At 45.2% G+C, this 25,674-nt stretch overlaps 1 protein-coding gene across 1 annotated transcript in view, besides 4 other annotated features; it reads right to left on the bottom strand.

Moving 5' to 3' along the window:
• The window catches only part of ABTB2 (ankyrin repeat and BTB domain containing 2), a 207,024-nt gene extending 196,341 nt beyond the window's left edge, over positions 1-10,683 (bottom strand). Inside the window, exon 1 of the mRNA NM_145804.3 lies at positions 9,374-10,683. Coding sequence (NP_665803.2) covers positions 9,374-10,256 — 883 coding nt within the window. The 5' untranslated portion in view covers positions 10,257-10,683. The remainder of the gene's footprint in view (positions 1-9,373) is intronic.
• Positions 4,819-4,868: an enhancer, noted in NCBI's record as "active region_4601". NCBI's record gives its function as "activates an Ori minimal core promoter by ATAC-STARR-seq in GM12878 lymphoblastoid cells {active_cell/tissue: GM12878}" and the evidence as "EXISTENCE:reporter gene assay evidence [ECO:0000049][PMID:35858748]".
• Positions 9,609-9,718: an enhancer, noted in NCBI's record as "active region_4602". NCBI's record gives its function as "activates an Ori minimal core promoter by ATAC-STARR-seq in GM12878 lymphoblastoid cells {active_cell/tissue: GM12878}" and the evidence as "EXISTENCE:reporter gene assay evidence [ECO:0000049][PMID:35858748]".
• Positions 10,669-10,868: a silencer, noted in NCBI's record as "silent region_3251". NCBI's record gives its function as "represses an Ori minimal core promoter by ATAC-STARR-seq in GM12878 lymphoblastoid cells {active_cell/tissue: GM12878}" and the evidence as "EXISTENCE:reporter gene assay evidence [ECO:0000049][PMID:35858748]".
• Positions 24,135-24,510: a transcriptional cis regulatory region, noted in NCBI's record as "candidate enhancer chr11.1764 targeted for multiplex CRISPR interference". NCBI's record gives its function as "positively regulates LMO2 gene expression in K562 cells {active_cell/tissue: K562}" and the evidence as "EXISTENCE:mutant phenotype evidence [ECO:0000015][PMID:30612741]".

Genomic DNA, 25,674 nt, shown 5'->3' on the forward strand with positions numbered 1-25,674 from the left:
TGAGAGGCTGAGGCAGAAGAATTGCTTGAACCTGGAAGGAGGAGGCTGCAGTGAGCTGAGATCGCAGCACTGCACTCCAACCTGGGTGACAGAGTGAGACTTTGTGTCAAAAAAATAATAATAAAAATAAAGAAAGAAAGGAAACTGTGGGCCTCAAGTCACTAACTACAAATGACTGTGTATGTATTTTTGCAATATGTTCATGAAGTTTATCTTTGTCAAGTGACAAGAAAATTCCTTCCCTTCATAACACTGGAGTCCGGAAAAAGACCGACACCTGAGTTATTAGCTAAGCCATTGATGACCTATCACATTTTATTATTATCAGCAGAATTCAGCTGCACCTTAGGGACTCCAATTCAGAAGACAATTAGCTATAAGGTGGTTCCACAATATTAAGCATTTAATATGCTTGAAATCTTTATTATCAATGCTCTGGAAACACATTAACTAAGAATTAAAATGTCAGCATCTCTGAGAATTGAGCTTTTATTGTCCAAAATAATAAACCCTAAACTGGAAGTCGAATATCGTATACATCAGTCGGACTTAACACCGAAAAAAAAAAGTTCTGGGACCATCTTCTCTCACCCTGTTTTATGCTCCACGATTAAGAATCCTGCTTTGGCAAGAGTCGATCCAATGGCCTCGTTTAACACATTTGCCAGTCTTGACCTTCATTCTGTACTGGGATTGCTTTGGCCTGTAATGCTACATTCAGGGCCACGGAAGAAATGCAAAGTCAGAGCCAAATTCAACAAGAAAAGAAGGGTTGATAGAAGCCTTGTTCTTCAACCCCTCACAACCCAAGTTTGCTCAGTTAAGGTCTTCTTTTAATGCTTTTACTGCTAGGACAGCAGACGGGTGCATTTTTGAGGTCAAGCTTTCAATCACCAAGAGGAGTAATTGGAGGTCTGGGGCCATGGTTAAGATGAGCTAGGGAGAAGACACACTCAATTTCTGAATTATGAAAATAAGTTTTGGAAAACTCTCATCCTGTACTCTGGCAGGCTTCTTAACATCTGGATAAAAGATGTGGGAAAGCTTTCCTTTTTCCTGTGTTATCTCCACTGTTCCTGCTTGTCATGTATCTGAACCTTCCACCCAAACAGGAGAACTTGCTGTTCTCCAACACATATGCGTTGGCTTCCAGGTCTTTGCTCACACTGTTCCCTCTGCCTGGAAGCCTCTGGGGGCTCTGCATCCCCTCCCATCTCCGCAGTCGCAGCTCTACCTGCCCAAATCACTGGCACACCTGCCACATCCTCCACAAAGAAACCCTGACTTCCTTCCACCCAGACAGCCAGGAGTCATCTCTTCCCTTTAAGCTTTCTAATCACCAGAAGCTTTAAGGTCCCCAACTATGGGATGGAAGTTATATCTACCTTCCAGAGGAGCTGGGAGGATTAAATGAAACAGCTCCTGAAAAGCACCCGCAATGGGGAACCAGCAATGAAGACTAGACAGTGGAGTCTATCGCCATTGCTCCCCTCTTTGTTTGAAGGTGGTCACTATAAACTTCTTTGTAACTATCTGTATATATGCTTTGCTTTCCCTACTAGATTCTAAACACTTCTAAACTCAAAACAGTCAAGATTCTTGTCCCTTGCTAATCTGTCTCCATTGCCTTGGATGTAGCTGGCACTCAGTGAGCAGTTGATTAATGATGCCGGCATGGCATTCCTCAGGAGTACTTGGGCTGTGTTCCTTATGTATCTCCTCCCAATCCTGCATGCAGCTCCAAGCACACAACCAAAGCTGCAAAAGCACTTAGGCCTTTTTTAAAACAAGCAGGAAGACCACAAAGTGTGTTTACATGACAGGCCAGCAAAACACAAAACACCTGCTATGATCTGTGGCTGAGGATTTGGCGGCTGCCACAAGCAGGGTCCAATATCCACAGGAGAATTGCTCTCTGGGGGCCTGGAGCTTTGAATGTGCACTCTTGCTGTCATCCTGGCAGAGATGGGCTTGAGCTCAGAGGGTGAGATCTAATCTCTCTGCCCACTGCCAGACCACTTGTTGTTGGGGGTAATCGAGCCATAACTGAGCAAGGTGCAAGGGTGCTTTTCCAGATTCCATAACTTCCTCCTACCTCCACAAACAAACTGTTAGCCACCAAGGAAAGCCTTGCGAGTAATACCCATCTCCCTGAGATTTGGGTCGTGACCCTCCTTGCACCAGAGACTTTGGCAAAAATGAACACAATCAGTGGATCCAACACAAGTTTGTTAAAAACAATTAGAATATCTTATGTGTCAGGCATAACACAAAGTCCCTCACAGGGACTCTTATGAAATTCTCACAACCATCCTATGAGTTGGGTACTATTTTCAGTCCTATCTTATAGAGCTGTGTTTCACAGCCAAGGGTGAATTTGCTCCCCAGGGAACATCTGGAAAAGTCTGGAGACATTTTTGATGGTCTCAACTGGTGGTGGCTATGAAGCATCCTACAATGCCCAAGACAACCTCATGACAAAACATTAACCAGTCCAAAATGTCAATGGTGCCCTGTGATCAAGGAAGAAACTAAGGCACGGAAGTGAAACAACTTGCCCAGGGTCACACAGCTCCCAAGTGAAGTTATGAGGAATTACAGCCAGGCAGCCCCACCCCGTGCTGTGCTCTCACCAGTAAGCCTGGCTGCATCTCTCACATCCCAGGGCACTGAGTATGCATAAGGCACAACCGCATGTGTACAAGCCTCTCATTTTACAGTAGAGGAAATAGAAACATAGTGTGACTTGCTTGAAGGCCTAGGTCAGTAAGAGGCAAATCAATCTGGGACTCAATTCAGACTCCAAAGTCTGGGCCCTTCACTGCTTTGCTACATCGCTGACTCATTCTCTCCCTGTGCTCTAAACACCGAGATGGAGTCAGCAGCCGGACACCATGGGGGACTCGGAGGAAATCAAAGCCCCCTTCATACAGGCTCTTCTGCCAACTCCAGGACAGGTGCACCAAGCTCCCCAAGACCAGTGACCTAGACTCAAATCCCTCTTGGTGCCTTCTCTCCTTCATGTATTAGCCTTTGCTGAGCTGACCCGCCCATCCTTTAGAAGAGCATCGCAGTGTACTCTGCGGCTTCTCTATTCAGCTGAGCTTATTGGTCACCAGCAGGTGACACTTATAAAGGCCCTCCCTGGGCAGCAGAGCTCTCTGTGCCCTCTTCTTCCATCCCCAGGAGCAGCAATAATGGCTCTTTAAAATCAGTGGCACCTCTAGGGTGGGGAGAGCCAGCAAGCAGCATTTAAACAGAGTAACAGCAACCTTTGGAGGAAGATACACCCCTGGGTGTCAGTGCCTGCTCTTTCACTGTGGTCGTGAACACTCACTGGCCTAACAAATGTAAAGTGTCTGGACACCATAGGCCATTAACAAACAAGACCTATAACAAGTGTTGTTCTTGCTATGAGTTTGACCCTAGCTGCCATCTGAATGGGGCCAAGTACTGACCTGTATTTGCTACCTTGGATTCTGTAATTCTTTATAGGAAAAGCACAGGCCTGGGGCTTGAGCAAAATGGGACTTAGTCATTATTGAGCTTAGTTATTATTGAGCTGTGAATTCTGGACTCATGGAGACCTCTCAGTGAAAGGACACACATTCACAGGATTCTCATGGGGACCTAGAAAGCTCACAGATGAGAATAAGCTTGAGGTGTTGTGGAAAAGTCAGACCTATTACTACAGCTGCATAAGAGTAGAAATAGAGGCGAAGCATCTACCCACTGACCTGTCGGACAAAGGATGAATACTGATGGTGAGGTGGGATAAGGACAAAGCTGAGGATGTGCAACCAAGTGTCTCTGGTTTGTTTCAGAACTTCCCATTCTTGGGATGCCAACCCAGGAATGTCTTGGCAATTGATTACCTTGGTTCAGTCCTCAGACTGGAGGCAGATGGAGTGGGACACAGATGTAAACTCTTCTGAGCAATAGTCATCAACATAAATTGTCCTCTGGGGCAGCTCTGTTGGCAAGGGGGCGGTTGGTATTTCCATTCTTAAGGAAACCTTCAACTCAATCCTCCTGTTGACTTTTCTGTGGCCTGCTGTACCAGACGTCTGTTGTGAAGCCCTTCCTCTTGGGTATTGTACACTGAAGACATTCTCCTAAACTGAAAATTCCCCCAACTCACATCTTGCACATCAAAGCCAGACTTGGGAACCCTGCTAGAAAGCAGGGTACCCAAAGGTTGGATGTAGCCCCAAAATGCTGACTCTATTCATTGAGAACAACTTGGAAATTTTCTGCCTTGGTAGAAATGGGGACGGTTCTGATATATCAAAGGAATTCAAATACAAATTTTAAACCTGTATGGCGGGATCTATCATTTGCCCATCATTTATAGAGCACATATTGTAGACACCATGAGAGGTACAGGGAAGACAGCAATGCCTATGAAGTGCACAGTTTTATGGGAGAGACACACACAAGCAGGAAATGATTTAAGAATATGTCCTGGGTGCTGAGGAAACATCACAAAGGGGTGGCTCTTCCAGCTGGGGGAGTCAGGTAGAGCTTTCAGTAGGAGGAAGTGGAACAACTCTACCTTGTTCCTCTTACTACTTAAGGCTAGGGTTGCCTTTCTCAGGCGTGCGAGAAAAAAAAATTTTTCATTTCCAAAGCTTGCTCTGTTTCAGTTTTACCAACTCTCTTGGCTTTAATAAAATGGTTAAAGAGATAGGAAGCAGCCCTCATCCTTCAGACTACCCAGGTGTGGAAACTGATTAAACACCACCTGACAAGCTCAATCAACCCTTGCTGCTTCAGTTGCTTCTCTCAGTAGAAATTCATCCTACAATCTCATCACTAAATAAATCCCACAACCAGAAGAGGTTTCGTCCCTGCTCTACATGCAGCCCTTTTCTTTCTCAGCTCTAAGTGAGATGTTGAGACTTCTCTCAGCTGGTGAATAACTGAATCATTCAGAAAAGTCCTCAGTCACTATTTTTGGCCTAAAGGTCCTTAGTAGTATTGATATTACTGGCTATTACTAATAAACCTTCAGAGAAGCATTCCTTGACTGTCATTTAAATTAGCCCCGTCACACCATCCCATTACCCTGCCCTTTAAAAAAAATATTTTAAACAACACTCATTACCAAGAGAAAATCCTTGCTTATTTACTTTTTCTCATTTCCTCCACTGGATTATAAACTTCATGAGAGGAGGGCTTTTCCCCTTGTTCATCACTTAGTCCACAGCACTTTTAACAGTGGTGGGTACAGGGTCAGTGCTCAATAATTGTTGAATGAATTTACTATTTATTGAGCATTTACTATGTGCTAAGATCTTTCAATCTATAGTCTCATTTAATTCTCATACCACCCATATAAGCTAGGTGCTCTTACTATGTCCCATTTTGCAGATGACAAAATTGAAGGTTAGAATGGTTAAGAAAATTGCACCAGGCCACTCATGTAAATGGCAAAGTTGTGTATGGCCAGGCATGATGGGTCATGCCTGTAATCCCAGCACTCTGGGAGGCTGAAGCGGGAGAATCCCTTGAGCCCAGGAGTTTAAGGCCAGCCTGGGCAACATAGCAAGACCCTGTCTCTACAAAAATAAAATTTTAAAAATTAGCTGGGTGTGGTGGCATATGCCTGCAGTCCCAGCCACTTGGGAGGCTGAGGCAGGAGGAACCCTTAGAACCCAGGAGTTCAAGGTTGCAGTGAACTACGATTTTACCACTGCACTCCAGCCTGGGTGATACAGCAAGACTCTGTCTCAAAATAAACAAATAACAAAATAAAACAAAATAAATGGCAAAGGTAGGCTTCAAACTCTCATGGTGAATCCAAAGTCTTGTGCATGTTACCACTAGGATAGAGCAATCCTTTTGTACACCCTGGATACTTCTTTGGAGCAAGAATATTCTCACCAATATCCTATCACTTAATCAAGAATCTAGAAATTGAGGAAGATTTTCTAAAATGCCACAGACACTCACAAAAGCTTAGTAAGAAGAATGACCAAGAAGAAACCTAGTAGTGATGCTCAGCATCAAACTCACCTATGGGAAGTGATGGGGGAGAGGAGGGAGAGAGAGGAGAGAGGAGAGTAGGGAGGGATATGAGTGGATGCGAAAAGTTTCTATTTTGTGCAAACTACCTGTTTATAAATACTGCTCTATTAAATTGGTTTCTCTACCTCCCGTAAGGAAGTCATGAAGATATCATCATTTAATGGCCTTGCCATGGGATTGGGGACATCAATACCAAATGAGCAACAATATATAACTCCTGCTGCTCTACGGAGCTGGGATCATGTTTTGTAAACACTGCAGAACTTTTATTATCCATCTTGTGCTGAGCAAAACCATATTTGTCCTGCATTCTGAGTAATGGACAGGAATAGATGGATTACGGCCCTTAAATTCTTGGTTGGAAGACATTAAGTTTAAAAGCCCTATATAGCTGAGTCAAATGCATGTGCCCATGCTGTATAATTAGCAGGCATATCAACAATAAATTTATAATTTAAAGGGAAGACCAGCAGGACAAGAATTCTAACCAGCACTCTCCTTCCCATACGCAGTCATTCCCCAGTTGGTCTTCAGCTGTGTAAACCGTTACCTTGCTGGCCTTGGGGTAATTTTAATATAACAAAGGTTTGGACCACTCCATTTTGTTCCTAAGCAGTGTATGCTTCCCTCTGAAGCCAGCTTTCAGACATAAGTAATTCATTGCCCCTCTACTAAACATTCATTTCACTTTGTCTAAAGGGACTTAATAAATCAGCCTGGTTATTGTTTAATGTGGCCACCCCCTGGTTTTCATGTATAAAAAATGAGCATCCAGTTGCTAAGTGGAAGTGAATGGTCACCTCGCCTGCAAGAGAGTTCCCTGGAGACCCGAGAAGGTACAGAGGGAGACACTTTGACTCTGAGCATCCGGGGAGCTTTGTTGTCTGCCACAGAGAATCCTGCTCTCTTGACTACCCAGGATTAAGGAGGATTGTTTGGAAAGGGGGGGCAAGGAGGAGGTTAAAACATGGGGTCGTGGCTGAGTGTGGTGGCTCACGCCTGTCGCCTGTAATCCCAACATTTTGAGAGGCCGAGGCAGGAGGACTGCTGGAGCCCAGGAGTTTGAAACCAGCCTGGGCAACATAGCAAAACCCTGTCTCTATTTAAAAAAACAAAAGGTGGTGGTGGAGCTGGGGGGTGGGGGTGGGGGGGTAGGTGGTGCCAAAAGACCAACTTATAAAGGAAATCCCAAGGAATGCTGACCCTAGATAAGAAATAGTTCTTTGGTTGGAAGCCCTTTAGCAGAAGACATCTGTTTTCTAGCAGCTTCTGGCCACTTCGCATCTTCAGGGTGTCCTGGGCAGGGAGTTGGTCTTCCTTATTTCAATTTGCAGTTAGAAAAGCTGGGAGAAGCTTCTCAATGTGCTGGGCACCTGTTCTGCATGAATATATGTTTTTGTTTTGTTTTGCATTTACAGTTCCACCCTTATTCTTGTTTGGCTTATAGGGTTAGGTCTTCAGTCTTTTCTCCTAGGAGCCTGCCTTTACTTCTTTGAGTTCAGTTTGGGCCTCCTCTCAGCCAAAAGTACAGAACTCTTTCCCTCAATTATGACCACTGGAGATGGAAATCCCCTGGCCCTCCACTTCCTGCCCTGGAGCTGCTGTTCCCAGTGTTGATGCCACAAACCTGGAGGGTGAGGCACAACAAGCAGCTGTGACATCATCAACTGAGATTCAGGACTGACCTTAGCTCTGACCTAAGAGGAAGAAAATTAAGCAGCAGATGCTCTTCAATTCCCAGCATCTCCTTTGGCAGTGCCAGAATTTAAAAACAAAACCAATAATGTCAAAGTAAGCCATGCTTGGTACAGAGTGTCTTCAAAATGGGCCTAACATGTCAACTGTTCTCGAAAACTGGGCTAATCAAAAAACAAAGCATAAGATCTGAGAGCTATAGTCCAGTAAGAAAAACAAACAAACAAACAACAACAACAAACCAGAAAAACAAAGCTGTTTCTTCTCCACCAGCATCTAGAACCTTAAAGGGGCCTACCTGGATTCAAACTGGATTCAAATTCCAGTTTTGCCATTTAACATCTATGTAATGTTGGGCAGATTATTTAACTGCTGGGTACCTTGGTTTCCTTATCTGTAAAATGGGCATCATACTATGCAGTAAGTACCTACCTAATAGGCTTGCTAGGAGTACTTGAGTTAAATACAAAGTGCTGAGAATAATGACGACACATTAAGGGTTATTTTGCATTTCAGCTATTATGATTATGTTAAACCATGTTTTGACTTCTTTTATCCCTTTCCAGTCCCCACCTGACCTCTTCCACTGCCTGCTTATTTGCCACTGAAAGCTGCCCCCCAAATGGCCTTCCAATCAGATCGTAAGGCTGTTTAACCATAATACCATTCTGAACAGTTTATGGTGCTGACTTCTCAAACTGAAGTCTTGTAGGTAGTTTGCAGTTGAATGCAATGTCACACCCCCTAACATTGTCAGGGAAAAGGTCATGTGCTTTGTTTCCATCCTTTGCACCAAATCCATGCTATCTTCAGGGAAGTGCAACCACCCAATGGTTCCTTTCCCAGACTTGACCCCATGCGGTTACCTATCTCTTCCCCTTGATGGGCCACCACTCTTTTCAGGAAAGAACATTTAATACAATGCAAGGTTTTAACCAATGGCTCACTTGGTTGGTGACAGCTTGGAAAAATCAGGTCTCAGGAGACAATCTGTGGTTACTTTTCTGGGAAGGGGAGTCGGGGTCCCCAGGTTTCATCATTCCTGGGCACATATAGGTAAGAGCGAACCACTACCCCTCCATCCCCCAAGAGAGCGCCTGACAGCATCCTTCAGCCCAGCAAAGCACAAGGCGCAGCACCAGATCTTGGGCTTCCCACTTCCCTCCGCCCATCTTACTTATCCAAGGTTCAGGTCTTTAAGTTGGGACCCTTTGGTTGCTGCTATTGAGCTGGGGAAAACTAGGGGGCAGAATCAGTCAATCTAACCAGCTGTTGGGGAAAGACAGCAGCTAGAGACCTAGTCAATCACGGTAAAGAGCCACGGGGCAGTAAGTTTCATTTCAAGAGAGGTTCAGGAATGGCTTGGTCAAGAGATTCAATCTCACCCAATCAATGAACAGCCCGCAGATAGTAACAATGCCACGCAGAACAGGATGGAGATCATTCACAAGTTTACCCTCCAAAAGTCAGACACCCTTAGAACAATCTCTGGCAAGTGCCATGTAATGAACCCTATCCTCAGACCAAACGTTTTCTCCCAAAGAACTGGCACAGCCACCAGCTTTGTCTCAGGAAATTCACTCCCCCAGTAGCCCAGGGCGGGATTTCTTGCCTACCCAGTCTGCCAGTCCGAGGCCCGCGCGCTTACCATTGGCGTTCTTGCCGCAGATGAGATGCTCATAGGGCTGCAAGACGCCCCAGAGCTCGGCGTCGTTGTTGATGACCATCTCCAGGGCCTCAGCAGACACCTCCCCGCCTCCGGCCCCTCCGCCATCAGGGCTGTGGCTGGCCATCACCCTGGCCCGGATCTCCTCCACCAGGTTCTCCATGCAGGCGGTGAGGGAGATGGCTGCGTACTCGTGGATGCGCACGGAGATTCGGGTGTCCACCATCCAGCGGAAAAAGCGACCCACTGAGAAGGTGAGGCCGCAGCGCGCGGACTTGCCCCGGCGCAGCCCGTCGCCGGCGCTCATGCTGTACAGGGACAGCGCCTTGACGGCTGCCAGCGCGCAGCTCTCGGCCAGCGCCCAGCTGTGCACCAGGCGCACGGCGCTCTGCACCTCAAAGCGGGTGCACTTGGCGTGCAGCACGCTCAGGCGCTGCGCCTCGCGGGCCACGCGGATCAGTGCCCTGCGGAGCAGCCCGGCCAGGCGCCTCACCGCCTCGGCGGAGAACTGGGGCAGCCGCCGGCCGCCAGCGCCTTTGCGGAGCACCCGGGCCACGTCTCCTTCGGTCCAGGGGAACTCCTCCAGCTCGGGGAGCCGCGGACAGCGCGAGAAGAGGTCGGCCACTTCGGGGTCCTCGGGCAGCACCGTGTTCACCGTGTCCCAGCTGTTGTGGCGGCTGTTCATGGAGCCGGAGTAGCACCACCAGGCCGCCCCGCGGTGCTGCTGCGCCGAAGAGTTGAGCGCCTGCGAGTTGGACTTGGAGGACGAGAGGCTGAGCGAGCGGCACGAGTCCCCGGCCCCATACCCGGAGTCCAAGGTCAAGTCCTCCAGCGTCTTCAGAGTCGAGCTGTACGTCCCGGCCATGGGGAGCCTGCCGAGGGCGGCGTCGCCGAGCGAGGGGCACTCACAACTCCATGCCCTCTTTCCCAAGTGGGCAGAAACAAGCTCTAGGCCCTCCGGGCCACCCTCCTTCCTCTCTGCGTCGCGGGGCTCGGCGGCCGCATTGCCTGCCCGGAGGCCGCGGGAAGGTGGCCGAGATCCGTGGCCAGCAGGAGCCCCACGCTCCCGGCGTCCCGACTCGCAGCTGCCACTGGAAAGAACCCCGTCGCTACCCCCCGGCACTCCCCCTTGTCCACCTCTAATTCCCACAAGCAGAGAGTCAGTCCTCCACAGAGAAGGAATCCCGGGAGAACAGGGCGGCGGCGGCAGAAGGAGGAGGCGGCGGCGCAGGGCGCAGGGCGCAGCGCGAGTCCGGGACCAGCCGGCGAGAAAGCGCTCTGCAAACTTCTGCGCTGCGCCGGCCGGCAGCACAGCTGGGTACCCGGCTGCGTCCGACATGCAAATAACCCCGGGCGGCTTACCAATCACCGGCCGCGATGGGCGGGGCTGCACCAATGATCTCCGAGGGGGCGGTCACTATGCAGATTTCACTCTGCCTCGGGTTAAACCCCGCGGCGAAGGAGGCGGGGCTGGAGGCCGAGGGTCGGGCACGCGGCTGGGATGGGGGTGGGGATGGGGGGGGATGGGGGGGATGGGGGGGTGGGGGAAGGGCGAGCCAGCCAACTGGGAGGTGGAGGTGGAGACCGGAAAGCAGCGGTCGAAACGATAGCTCCGGAGCTCACGATTTAAAGAAAAATGCAAAGGAAAAGCTACAGGGCGCTGCCACCTTCCCGCCACCCAGGCTTTGGGCGTTCGCTGCTCGCTTTCGAGCCCTCCGCAGCCAGGCGTCCTGGGGTTGGGGCCAGGAGAATGGGGAGGGCCCCATCCAGGCGCTCCACCTCTCCTCCACCTTCCGCCAGGCCCCTCCCGCAATCCGAGATGAAACGCTGGCTGTGTTTGGAGGGAGGAGGGAGTCCCTGCCTCTCTTTCCAAGTCCGTCTGGTTCCTTTGCGCTGCCGTCTAGGCTCCAATAAGGACAGAATTTCTTAACCTGGTATCTGATCAATGGACGGGCCCCAGGAAGCCTGTGAGTGCCTCCGCCCATTTGTGGTTTCACCTGCAGTTTTCTGAGTGCCACTATGGGGAAGGGGCACCAACTTTTGTCAGATTCTCAAGAGGATCCGTGACTTCCCTGTTACCTCTGTGTGACGATACCACTTGCTGTCAGGTGGGTCCTTTTTGTCCGAGATAGACAGTGTTCTTACAGGAAGAATGAGAAGAAGGTGGCAGAGCAGTCCCTCGCCCTGGGCTGAGCTCGGAACACCTAGCTGGATGCAGGTGTTCGCCTCCTAACGCGTGCCGGTGGGCGAGCCGTATGCCCCCGCGGGACCCAGTTCCTCCGGGGTACAATGAGTGGCTGACCTCCAGGCAGCGCCAGTGCCAACCTGCCTCCGGGCGGGTGTCCCAAACGGTCCGCCAGAGCGCTGTTGGTTCAGCAGTCCCATGCCCGGTGCAGGCATGTCCCGCCGCTGCCCTGTGGCTACTCACACGCACGTGCGCAAACGGACCTGTGCCCCCTCCAGTGGAACCGCAGGCTCAAGGCGGGGATTGTGCATTCGCTCTCCCCAAGTCAGCCTCCCCCACTCCTGAATGGCTCCTTTGTGTTGCATTTTACACAGTTCTGACCTTGGGCCGTGAGTTGGATATGAACTAGAAATGTCTGGTTTGTCTCTTTCCTTCTTAAATTAATGGCCTTTACCCCCGGTGAAACTGCTTTTTATTTGGCAGTTTCGCTTAATTTTGCCTTTCCGCGGGTCTTTATTTATGCAACATCGCCGCCCGATGGTTAGAATTGGGAACAGAGTCAAAGATGGAAGTACTGTAATACCAAAGACGCAAGTCAGCAGAGATCAAACTAACAAAGGAGAATGCAGTCACACTTTACAGACGTGAGATTAGAAATTAAAGTAGGCAATGAGGTCCAACTTGTCAAAAATACAAAAGTAAATTTTATGCAATTTAAAACTTTATTGGGGAAATATAATATTAAAGGCAATGTCGCCCTCTAATGGATATATTCAAAGGAAATGAATTTCAGAAAGGTTTCCCTGTCCCCCCTTTTCTTCGTTGTGCGCACCCATCAAACCTAAAGAGAATTACTTAACTGGAAATTTACAACGGGGAACTTACTGAATGAAAGGTTATTGGAGGAATCATCTGGAGTGGGAAAAAGAGCCTATGGGATTTATATTAATATATTCAAATTACTTGATGACTTAAAGTGTAGATAATCAAACATGCCTCCAACTGAATCTGAGAATCCTGTGAATGTTGACCTGCAACATGAAGATATATTATGCAAAATTCAGCCATGGGAAATGCTTCTGAACAAACAACTGAGTTTCTTTAATAAATAAGTTTCAAGGAAAGAAAGAGATGGAGAGAAGACCTACACATTTAAAGAGACTTGAAAGACATAATAACCAATTACAAGGTGTGGAACTTATGTGTATTTTGAATTTGTTTTAAAAAGCCAGTAAACATTTGACATTATGAAACCATTAGGAACACTGCCTCGATGTTTGCTCTTAAAGAATAACTGTTTTTTTTTTTTTGATGTGGTAATGGTAGTGTGGTTATATTTATCAAATGTTCTTATCTTTTAGAGACACATGCTGAAATAAGTGTTTTGTAGCCCTCAAGAGTTGGCTTCCTCAAGGAAAAAAGGAAGACAAATCCTCATGGAAAAATCTGGTAAAGGGACTAGGAAGTTAGGAAAGACTGTAGATAGATCTCTTGTCTTTCAAATTTTCCTCAGTCTTCTAGTCAGCCTGAGGACTGGCAGTACCAAGTAAACCCAGAATGTGTCTGTGTTTGTGTTTTGTGTGATATGGGAAAAAGAATAGGAGGAAGATAGATAGAGATGAATATATATATATATATATATATATATATATATATATATATATATCCAGCCATCTTAGAATGAACCAATTCTTTGATTTCAGTTCAACTTTTGGGAGTTGGCCAGTGTGGTGAAATACAAAACTTTGGGTCAAGGAAAGAAAGGACATGGTTTCTTATATATACGTGCATGTGTTCAGTTAAGCCAATCTGCTGGTAATGTGTTTGATTTTAAGAATGCAAATTATATTAAGAGAAAATGTCATCCCAACTCGGGCCTTACCCAAACATTATTTTTGAAGAAACATTGTTTTTGAAGAAAAACAGCTGTCATTAAGCTGGACAAGGAGAAAAGAACATAACAGAACACTGGCAAACATTGGAACAATTCCAAGTGGAGTTGACAATTAAGAAGCAGATCTCGGATTACCCACGCAAAAATCATGTAACAGAGGTAGCTTGAAGTAAACTTTAGAAACTTTACCTGGTGTGAGGTCTTCTATGTGCTTACACAATCAAAAACAATCTGGAAATTAGGAGATAAAATACCCTGGAATTTACCTTGAAAGTGAGGGTGTTATAATCCCAACTATTTACAGACAGAACTGTCTCATGAGAAAGGTAGATTATGGCCTTGACTTTGGAGAGTGGCCAAATTTTAATTTAGTTTGTGGATCACCTTCAGTGCATTTGGCAGATGTAGATCTTTAACTCCCACAGGTGGTTTTAATCAACTCTCCTAGTCAGGAGGGAATGTCTTTAAGCAGAGAATTAACATGTTCAGGCTTACAGAAATAGATTTGAAATTAATTGGAGAAAACTAAGTTTATAGAGCAGAGAGCATTACCTGCTTGTTTGTTGGTTGTCTTTCTGTCCTACAAGAATATAAGCTCCATGAGGGAAGGGATCTTCTCCATTGAGTTCACTTTTGTATCCCATTGCCTAGGTCAGTATGAGCGTAAAGTAGGAGCTCAATAAATATTGAATAAGTGAATGAATGAAACTAACAGGATGAATGGGGCAATGTAATGAACAGCTAGGTTTCTTTTTAAACTCTCAAGGAACCAGCAGGTGCTTAAGACTGTGTGTTAAGGGAAAAGGATTACTGACATCTGAACTGAGATTTTCCTGATACCTGCCTCCTCCATAGACTTTAGGAGAGTCATGTGCTCCCCATCCATATTATTATTATTTTTGAGACAGAGTCCCACTCTGTCATTCAGGCTGAAGTGCAGTGGTGCTATCTCGGCTCACTGAAACCTCCACCTCCCAGGTTCAAGAGATTCTCCTGCCTCAGCCTACCAAGTAGTGGGGACTACAGGCATGTGCCACCACTTCTGGCTAATTTTTGTGTTTTTAGTAGAGACGGGTTCACCATACTGGCCAGGCTGGTCTCAAACTTCTGACCTTAAGTGATCTGCCCGCCTCAGCCTCCCAAAGTGTGGGAATTACAGGCATGAGCCACTATGCCCAGCCCCCACCCACATCAGAAAGGGGTTCCTAACACCTTGGGGAGGTGGGCTTAGGAAGTGGGGAGTGTCTTTGAATCACCTAAAATTGCCTACAACATTTTTAATATGAGTACATATTTGCATATTCTGGAGAGAGGGTCAATGCCTCTAGGCAGGACTGTCTGATAGAACTTTCTGAGATAAAGAAAAAGGTTCCATATCTGTGCTATCAAATACAGAAGCCACTAACCACTTGTGGCTGCAACTTGAAATCTAGCTATTGTGACTGAAGAACTGAGTCTTAAATTTTAATTAATTAATTATTTTTGAGATGGGGTCTCACTGTCACTCAGGCTGTAGTGCAGTGGTATGATCTTGGCTTACTGCAACCTCTGCCTCCTTAACTCAAGTGGTCCTCCCACCTCAGCCTCCTGAGTAGCTGGGACCACAGGTGCACGCCACCACGCCCAGCTAATTCCTTGTATTTTTGATAGTGACAGGATTTTGCCATGTTGCCCAGGCTGGTCTCGAACTCCTGAGCTCAAGTGATCCTCCTGCCTCAGCCTTTAATTTAATTTTAAACTTGAATAGCTATAAGTAGTTAGTGCTACCATAGTGGACAGCACGGGTCTATAGCCTTCGTGAAGATCTCAATGAGGCCAATGATCCTAAGAGGTGAGAAATAAGAATGATGGTTGTTAGAGAAGTTTTTCCAAAATGATGGCAGAACACAGTGGCCCATTGTTAGGTCACAGCGCCACAGCGCAATGTTAGGAAAGGAGATAAATGTTAGGGCCTTGGACAAAGAAAACCATTTGGAAAAGGCATATACAAAGTCTTAAATGGGATGTGAACTCAGCCCATGTGTAAGGAGTAAGACATCCTTCCATTGTCAAGACATCACAGTCCATGTTGAATTGGTGGGAGAGTACATGGTGAGGAGGTAGGTTTGTCCCTAAGGGTAGCTAAAGGCAGACAAGTCCTGGGGACATAGAACCAGCTCCTATGTATGCAAGGTCCAGGGTCTGCTGTCTGTTCAAGGCTCAGGGAAGAGGAGGCCCCTCTATTTACATAGATACATATAAATTTGTTTTTTTTTTCTTTTTTTTTTTTTTTTTTGAGATGGAGTTTCACTCTTGTTGTCCAAGCTGGAGTGCAATGGCATGATGTCAGCTCACTGCAACCTCCGCCTCCCGGGTTCAAGCGATTCTCCTGCCTCCGCCTCCCGAGTAGCTAGGATTACAGGCATGCGCCACCATGCCCAGCTAATTTTGTATTTTTAGTAGAGACAGGGTTTCTCCATGTTGGTCAGGCTGGTCTCAAACTCCCGACCTCAGGTGATCCACCCTCCTCGGCCTCCCAAAAGGCTGGGATTACAGGTGTAAGCCACTGCACCTGGCCATAAATTTGGATTTTTAAAGACAATCTAAGTCTGGGCTTGGCAGAGACAATAAGCTGCTTAGATGAGTGGGAAGGTCAGGGTGGAGAGCAGATCAAACCAGAAATGGCTCAGAACCAGACATCAAACAGTGCCTAGCCCTGGCAACTGATAAGAACACGGGTGGTAAATAGCATTCAGCAAACAGGCCCCTACCAGAGTGGCTGGTAGAAGACTCTAATTTCCAAAACCTTGGGGGAGGGGGCAAGGAAAGGCTGAGCCTGTAGGAACTGAAGGATGGTGCAGAGAGTCAAGACAGGGACTCAGTTATTGGGACTGTGGGTTTCCAGGCGGGGGTTTGGACACAAGGTTTTCAGAGCCAGGTCAGGAGTAGCAGGCAGCGTAATCACGTCCTGAATCTCTGAGGCACTTACTGGTTTGGGACTCCTTAACTTACTGGTTTGGGAACTCCTTAACTATTTGCTGACAGGTGCCAGGCTTGTCTCAGAATCTGGGATGAAGTGGGGCTTCCATAGCTCCTCCTGCAAGGGTTAGAGAGTCACTAAGCAGGGAGCACAGAGATGATTTCAAAAGCATTGCTTGCTACATCGCGGTATTATGAAAACCATCTGGGTTGTTCTTTGGACACTTAACATAATATGCCTGAGAACAGGTGATAACTTAAATGAGTCGTTTTCAAATTGCCGAGTTGAGAAATCCCTTTTTCCAGTCTTACACAGGCCTTGATATGAAATACAAAGAAGCAGAAAGCTTGATTTGGGGTTGTGGGTGGAAGGGTCTAGAGCCAATTCATGAATTTTCAGGCAGCTTCTGAGAAACTCAGTGGAAGCCCAAAACTTTGCAGAGCTACTGGAAAACCACTGACCAAAAGCCATTGTCAGTTCTTTGACTCACTATGCGGGTTGGTACATCTGGGGGAGAAATGGGTCAAACATAAGGAAGGAAATACTGTGGAATGCAAGGAAAGCTGAGAAACGTGGTAAACAGGAGTGTTATGGTTAGCAGAGCTGCTTTGAAGTTGATCAAACAGAACACTCAGTTGTTGAAAAAGAAACCAATGGTGTGGAAACTGTAAAGTCTCCTCCATCCTGTGCAACCTAGATTAGCCCATTCCTGACACAGGTATTTGTTCTGAATCTCACGACTAAAGAAAAACACAGACAATTCAAAACAAAGCCCCAAAATGGTTATAAAGAAGAAGAAAAAAATACTTCCCCAAGGTATGTTCCGCAGGATGGCTAGTCTCATGAGATGGCCTACAAAAAAAAAAAAAAAGAAAAAAGAAAAGAAAAAAAAGAATTGAATTTTGTGGTTAACTTTGGGAAATTTTGCATTCTGTTTCTCCCTCTACTATACTCATGACCTACAATATTTAAGGCTCTGTTTGTATTTCTTGTAACCCATGCTATCCTGGTCCTGGGCTTAACTGTGCAGAGAGTTTTTTTTTTTTTTTTTTCAAATACCACAGGCTATTTTAAAGTAACTGGGACTTTTTATTTAACTTGAAGAAGAGAAGACAATGACTATCTTCTGTGTCTTATGAAGACAATGACACATCTTATGTGTTCGCTCAAGTAGTTGTGATAGGGCAGGACCTTGGACCAAATCCAGATAGATATTAGGACTGGTCAGTTTCAGTATCTGACCATTGCCCAAAGCTGGAATTTGGTTCTTTTGGACACAATGCGATCCCAAAGGTAGTTCCAAACCTAGGACATTGCTTCACAGGAGAAAATCGGGGTAAGTGCTAACACTGTGAAACTCCGTCTCTACTAAAAATACAAAAAATTAGCCAGGCGTGGTGGTGGGGGCCTGTAGTCCCAGCTACTCGGGAGGCTGAAGCAGGAGAATGGCGTGAACCCGGGAGGCGGAGCTTGCAGTGAGCCGAGATCGCGCCACTGCACTCCAGACTGGGCAACAGCAGGAGAATCCGGCTCAAAAAAAAAAAAAAAAAAAAAATTGGGGTAAGTGCAGAAGTAATTGTGGCTTTTGCCATTGAAAGTAATGGCTAAACCGCAATTACTTTTGCACCAACCTAATAAAACCGTTCACAAAGCAAACAAGATAGGTTGTAGGAGGGCTTTCCAACAGGAGCTCTGCCTGTCAGGCAGTTGGCATCACAAATGTGTTAGCTGGTATCAGAGGAAGCCACTGGGAGCCTGGGAGTTTTTTTGATTGTGTGTGTGTGTGTGTGTGTGTGTGTGTGTGTGTGTGTGTTTTGATGGAGTCTCCTGCTGTCGCTCAGGTTGGAGTGCAGTGGTGTGATCTTGGCTCACTGCAACCTCCACCTCCCAGGTTCAAGCAAGTCTCCTGCTTCAGCCTCCCGATTAGCTGCGACTACAAGCGCCCGCCACCACGCCCAGCTAATCTTTGTATTTTAATAGTGACCTGGCTTCACCATGTTGGCCAGGCTGGTCTCGAACTCCTGACCTCAGGTGATCCACGCCCCCCCCACCCCCCCCCGGTTTTCCAAAGTGCTGAGATTATAGGCTTGAGCCACCCTGCCCAGCCTGGGAGCCTGGGGTTTAATGGCAAGAATTTTAGGGAAGGGGCTGGCACTTAAGACCACAGAGCTGAATTATGGGACAGAGAATCCAGGGACAACTTGATTGTGGTAGTGTTGCCATATTCCCAGACCTAGATGTTTCATATTCTAGTTATCAATTATCTGCTTAAAAAAAAAACAAAATCAACAATTGTGCTCTTCTACCCTGGTATAGAGAATCTATTTCAGCTTTTAATATTCATCTGATGGTTTTATACAAATCTCAAGTCCCAGGCACCTTTCTTGGAAATACGAATTCAGTAAGTCTGTAATGTGATCCGGAGTAAAAATATTTTAAACAAGCATTCTGGCTGGGCACAGTGGCTCATGTCTGTAATCCCAGCACTTTGGGAGGCCAAGGCCAGAGGATCACTTGAGCCCAGGAGTTCAAAACCAGCTTGTCAATATAGCAAGACTCCATCTCTACAAAAGAAAAATACAAAAATCAGGAGGGCGTGGTGTTGGGTGCTTTTAGTCCTAGCTACTTGGGAGGCTCAGGTGGGAGGATCGCTTGAGCCCAGGAATTGAAGGCTGCAGTGAGCTACGATTGTGTCTCTACACTCTGGGGTGGGACAGAATGAGACGCTGTCTCAAACAAACAAAAATTCCCGGGTGATTCTTATCAGGCAAGTTTGGGAACTAAGACATTTGTTTCTTAAACCTCAAGGCACCCCAAAACTGTTTTAAAATGCAAATTCTGTAGCCGTAGAGACTGAGTCCTCATTTGTAACCAGAGGGTCTCAGTTTGATTCAAATGCTTTGGGTCCAGGAAACTTGCAATTCAATATGCAAGTCCAGGAATTTCAGGTGTTCCCGGCAGGTGGCACTCTCAATCATTTAGCTATGAACTTGCACCTAAGAAGCCATTTTTTAAAACTCATGAGCAGGATTTAAAGTAAAAACAAACAAACAAACAAACAAACAACTTTTGAATCTCCCAAGAGGATAGATCTGGAACCACATAACTATTCCTAATGATAAATTCTTTAAAAAATCTGAAAATGTCTCTGTCTGCCCTTAAGCAAGGGTGCTTAATATTAGGAATGATTGTAGACAGCTGCAGCACAGGGATGGATGGCTGAATTGCAGATGGGACTGGAGGAAGTGGTCTTCAGAGTTCAGATAGTAGCCTTTAAAAAAATTATTTCCAGCCGGGCGAGGTGGCTCACGCCTGTAATCTCAGCACTTTGGGAGGCCAAGGTCGGTGGATTACCTGATGTCAGGAGTTCGAGACCAGCCTGGCCAACATGGTGAAATCCTGTCTCTACTAAAAATACAAAAATTTGCTGGGCATGGTGGCGTGTACCTGTAATTTCAGCTATTCAGGAGGCTGAGGCAGCAGAATCACTTGAACCTGGGAGGTGGAGGTTGCAGTGAGCCGAGATCACACCACTGCACTCCAGCCTGGGCAACAGAGTGAGACTCTGTCTCAAAAAAAAAAAAAAAAAAAAAAAAAAAAAGAATTATTTCCATAGGTTTTTGGGGAACAGGCGATGTTTGCTTATATGAGTAACTTCTTTAGTGGTGATTGCTGAGATTTTGGTGTACCCATCACCTGAGAAGTATACAAGGTGCCCAGTTTGTTGTCTTGTATCCCTCACCCCCCCCATTCCTTTCCCCCAAATCCCCAGAGTCCATTATATCATTCTTATGCCTTTGCGTCCTCATAGCTTAGCTCCCACTTATGAGTGAGAACATACAATGTTTGGTTTCCCATTCCTGAGTTACTTCACTTAGAATAATGGTCTCCAATTCCATCCAGGTTGCTGCAAATACCATTATTTTGTTCCTTTTTATGGCTGAGTAGTATTTCATGGTGTATCTATACAATTTCTTTATCCATGTGTTGATTGATGGGCATTAGGGCTGGTTGCATATTTTTGCAATTGTGAATTGTGCTGCTATAAACATGTGTGTGCAAGTATCTTTTTCATATAATGACTCCTTTTTTTCTGGGTAGATAGCCAGTAGTGGGATTGCTGGATCAAATTCCTACTGACACTGTTCTACAAATAGAGAAAGAGGGAATCCTCCCTAAATCATACAAGCCAGTATCACCCTAATACCCAAATCAGGAAAGGACATAACAAAAAAAGAAAACTACAGACCAATATCCCTGATGAAGATAGATGCAAAAATCCTTAACAAAATACTAGCTAACTGAATCCAACAGCATATTGAAAAGATAGTCCATCATTATCAAGTGTGTTTCATACCAGGGATGCAGGGATGGTTTAACATACTCAAGTCAATAAATGTGATACACCACATAAACAGAATTAAAAATAAAAATCACCTGATCATCTCAATAGATGCAGAAAAAGCATTTGACAAAATCCAGCATCTCTTTATGATTAAAACCCTCAGTAAAATTGGCACAGAAGGGACATATCTTAATTATACTAAATGTATAATTAAGTACAGCCAACATTATACTGAATGGGGAAAAGTTGAAAGCATTCCTCCTGAGAACTGGAACAAGACAAGAATGCCCACTCTTACCACTTCTATTCAACATTGTACTGGAAGTTCTAGACAGAGCAATCAGACAGGAGAAAGAAATAAAGGGCATCCAATTTAGTAAAGAGGAAGTCAAACTGTCACTGCTGATAATATGATTGTATACCTAGAAAACCCTAAAGACTCCTCCAAAAAGCTCCTAGAACTGAAAATGAATTCAGCAAAGTTTCAGGGTACAAAATTAAGGTACACAAATCAGTAGCTCTGGTATATACCAAGAGCAACCAAGATAATAATCAAATCAAGAACTCAATCCCTTTTATAATAACTGCAAAAATAAAATAAAATACTTAGGAATATACCTAACCAAGGAGTCAAAAGAACTCTTCAAGGAAAACTACAAAACACTGCTGAAAGAAATAATAAACAACACAAACAAATGGAAATACATCCCACGCTCATGGATGGATATAATCAATATTATGAAAATGACCATACTGCCAAAACAATTACAAATTCAATGCAATTTCCATCAAAATATCACCATTATTTTTCACAGAACTAGAAAAAACAATCCTAAAATTCATATGGAACTAAAAATGAGCCTGCATAGCCAAAGCAAGACAAAGCAAAAAGAACAAATCTGGAGGCATCACTTTACTTGACTTCAAACTATGCTATAAGGCCATAGTCACCAAAACAGCATTGTACTGGCTTAATAATAGGCACATAGACCAATGGAACAGAATAGAGAACCCAGAAATAAGCCCAAATACTTACAGCCAACTGATCTTTGACAAACCAAACAAAAACATAAAGTGGAGGAAAGGACACCCTATTCAACAAATGGTGCAGGGATAATTGGCAAGCCACATGTAGAAGAATAAAACTGGATTCTCATCTCTCATCTTCTACAAAAATCATCTCAAGATGGATCAAGGACTTAAATCTAAGACCTGAAATCATAAAAACTCTAGAAGATAACATTGGAAAAACCCTTATAGGCATTGGCTTAGGCAAAGACTTAATCACCAAGAACCCAAAAGCAAATGCAACAAAAACAAAGATAAATAGATGGGACTTAAACTAAAAAGCTTCTGCACAGCCAAAGAAACAATGAGCAGAGTAAATAGCCCACAGAATGGGAGAAAATCTTTGCAATCTATACTTCCAACAAAGGACTAATATCCAGAACCTTTCTACAAGGAACTCAAACAAATCAGCAATAAAACGCCAAACAATCCCATCAAAAAGTGGGCTAAGGACATGAAAAGACAATTTTCAAAAGAAGATATACAAATGACCAACAAACATGAAAAAATCTTCAACATCACTAATGATCAGGGAAATGCAAATCAAAACCACAGTGTGATACCATCTTACTCCTGCAAGAATAACCATAATAAAAAAAAAATAGATGTTGGCATGGATATGGTGTAAAGGGAACACTTTTACACTGCTGGTAGGAATGTAAACTAGTACAACCAGTGTGGAAAACAGTGTGGAGATTTCTTAAAGAACTAAAAGATAGTAGCTTTTTTAGACTTTTCAATGCATAATTAATTTAAAAACAATCAAGCCTACAAATATAGTGGAGATATGTCTTAATTCAGTAACAAAGGGTAAAAATTGAGCCCCAATTAGGACCTTTTCTTTTCTTTTCTTTTTTTTTGAGACAGAGTTTCACTCTTGTTGCCCAGGCTAGAGTGCAATGGCACAATCTTGGCTCACTGCAACCTCCGCCTCCTGGGTTCAAGTGATTCTCCTGCCTCAGCCTCCTGAGGAGCTGGGATTACAGACATGCACCACCACACCTGGCTAAGTTTTTGTATTTTTTTTTTTTTTGTAGAGATGGGTTTCTCCATGTTGGTCAGGCTGGTCTCGAACTCCTGACCTCAGGTGATCCACTCGCCTCAGCCTCCCAAAGTGCTGGGATTACAGGCGTGAGCCACTGCGCCCGGCCAGGACCTTTTCTTTAAACATTCCAAATCAAAGTAAGGAGTCAAGTCGAAATTGAAGAGGTTTAGTGGGATTAGGGGTGATCCTATTTCAACAGATGAATGCTGGAACACAGTTTTCTTTTTCTTTATTTTAGAGACAGTCTGGCTTTGTCGCCCAGGCCGGAGTGCAGTGGTGCGATCTCGTCTCACTGCAAGCTCCGCCTCCTGGGTTCAAGTGATTCTTGTGCCTCAGCCTCCCAAGTAGCTGGGATTACAAGTGTGAGGCACCACTCCCAGCTAATTTTTGTATTTTTAGTAGAGATGGGGTTTCGCCATGTTGGCCTGGCTGGTCTCGAACTCCTGGCCTCAAGTAATCTGCCCCTCATGGCTTCTCGAAGTGCTGGGATTACAGGCATGAGCCACCATGCTTTGCCTCTGTTTCCTTTTAGTGGGAACTCTCAGAAGTCATTTCCTCTCTGAAGTTTTCTGTAAGCCTCCCAGACCCCTCTGCCAACTCTTTGGTCCCATTTCTGCTGTTATCATCGCTCATCACAGTCTAATGTAACTATTGTTTACTTGTCTGTGTTTCTCCATTTGATTGTGTGCACCTTGAAAGCAGAGGCTATTTCATTTAATTTTGTATCCCTGGTTCCTACTCCGCACAGGCTCTGATTCATGGAAAATATTTAATATTTTTGTTGAATGAAAGAATGACATTTATCATGTAAAGCTAATAATTTGTTTCACGGGTGTATGTCTTTCTTTCCTACTGTTCTGTGTTTCTTGAAGACAGAAACACTCTTTCCCCACTAGAGCTTAGTACACTTTAAACCTAGAATAGATAATAAATATTTGTTGGATTAAACTCAGTTGAGTTTAACTGAATTATGCAGTACTCATTGATCAAAAATAGAAAGCTCTATTTTCTTTGTAGGGCCACACATATTTTGCTTATGAAGATTCTTGGCAAAGGATGTGTAAATACTCACAAAACACCACAATTTGGGACATTTAGAAGACTTTCTCTCTTCAAAACAAGGAAAAGTCACGATCAGGTAGTTAGCTAGAAAAAGGACAGGATTGCAGTGTGGGACATTATTTAGGCCAGCAATAAGTAAAAGTAACCTCAAACATTTAATCTACAATAAAAAATAACTTAATGAAGTAGCTCTCTCACGTACCTTATAACCCCACTATAAAGGCTGTATTTTCCAGGGAGTGAAAGAAAGAGAATCAATGTTCTTTATTCCTGGGCATTATTCGTGTGACATTCTGTAAAGTGATGACTCAGGCTATGGCTGTTTTAGCAAACATTCTGACTCTTAATGACAAGAGCAAATGCCACGTGACTCATCCCATGAGTCTGGTTATAGCCTGCTTTCTGAAATTCTTGAGAAGCAGTTGATGAAATAATACTGATGATGCAACTCTGTCTCTGCTGTCATTTGCTTTTTCAAGGTGTTGAAGAGAGGAAAACAACTGCTCCTTGTTCAGACTTAGCCTGGAAACTGGTGACTAAAGGGGTGTAGTGAAACTTTTGGGGTATAATTTTTTGTTGTTGTTGTCTATTTTTTTTTTTTTTTTTGGAAACGGAGTTTTGCTCTGTCACCTAGGCTGGAGTGCAGTGGTGCGACCTCGGCTCACTGCAGCCTCCACCTCCTGGGTTTCAGCGATTCTCTTTCCTCAGCTTCCTGGGTAGCTGGGATTACAGGCATACATCACCACGCCTGGCTAATTTTTGTATTTTTAGTAGAGATGGAGTTTCATCATGTTGGCCAGGCTGGTCTTAAACTCCTGACTTCAGTTGATCTGTCCGCCTCAGCCTCCCAAAGTGCAAGGATTACAGGCGTGAGTCACTGCGCCTGGCCTCTTGGGGTATAATTTTGAGCACCATTTTGTTTCGTTTTCTGTAATCTGATTCCAAGATTTTTTCTAAAAGTTGATAACTGGGGTCTTGGGTTAAATCTAGCAATTCTCCAGGCACGCTGCACACCAGAAGAGTTAGGCAAGCCATGTTGAAAGCATTGTACCAATATGCCCAGCACAGGGCCTGCTGCAGAAGCCCTGGTTCATTAGTGTTTGTCATTCAAGGACTCTACCACTTCATCATCTTGCTTCTCATTCTCTTTTCTTTTTTTTTTTTTTTGAGCCGGAGTCTCACTCTGTCGCCCAGGTTGGCGTGTAGTGGCGCGATCTCGGCTCACTACAATCTCTGCCTCCTGGGTTCATGCCATTCTCCTGCCTTAGCCTCCTGAGTAGCTGGGACTACAGGCGCCCGCCACCACGCCCGGCTAATTTTTTTGTATTTTTTCTTTTAGTAGAGACGGGGTTTCACCGTGTTAGCCAGGATGGTCTCGATCTCTTGACCTCGTGATCCACCCTCCTTGGCCTCCCAAAGTGCTGAGATTACAGGCTTGAGCCACTGCGTCCGCCCTCATTTTCTTTGAATAAGAATATGGCGGGGCGCGGGGGCTCACGCCTGTAATCCCAGCACTTTGGGAGGCTGAGGCAGGCGGATCACCTGAGGTTGGGAGTTCCAGACCAGCCTGACCAACATGGAGAAACCCCGTCTCTACTAAAAATACAAAGTTAACTGGGTGTGGTGGTGCATGCCTGTAATCCCAGCTACTCAGGAGGCTGAGGCAGGATAATCGCTTGAACCTGGGAGGCGGAGGTTGTGGTGAGCCGAGATCTTGCCATTGTA

Source organism: Homo sapiens, chromosome 11, assembly GCF_000001405.40.
Source record: "Homo sapiens chromosome 11, GRCh38.p14 Primary Assembly".
NCBI lineage: Eukaryota > Metazoa > Chordata > Mammalia > Primates > Hominidae > Homo > Homo sapiens.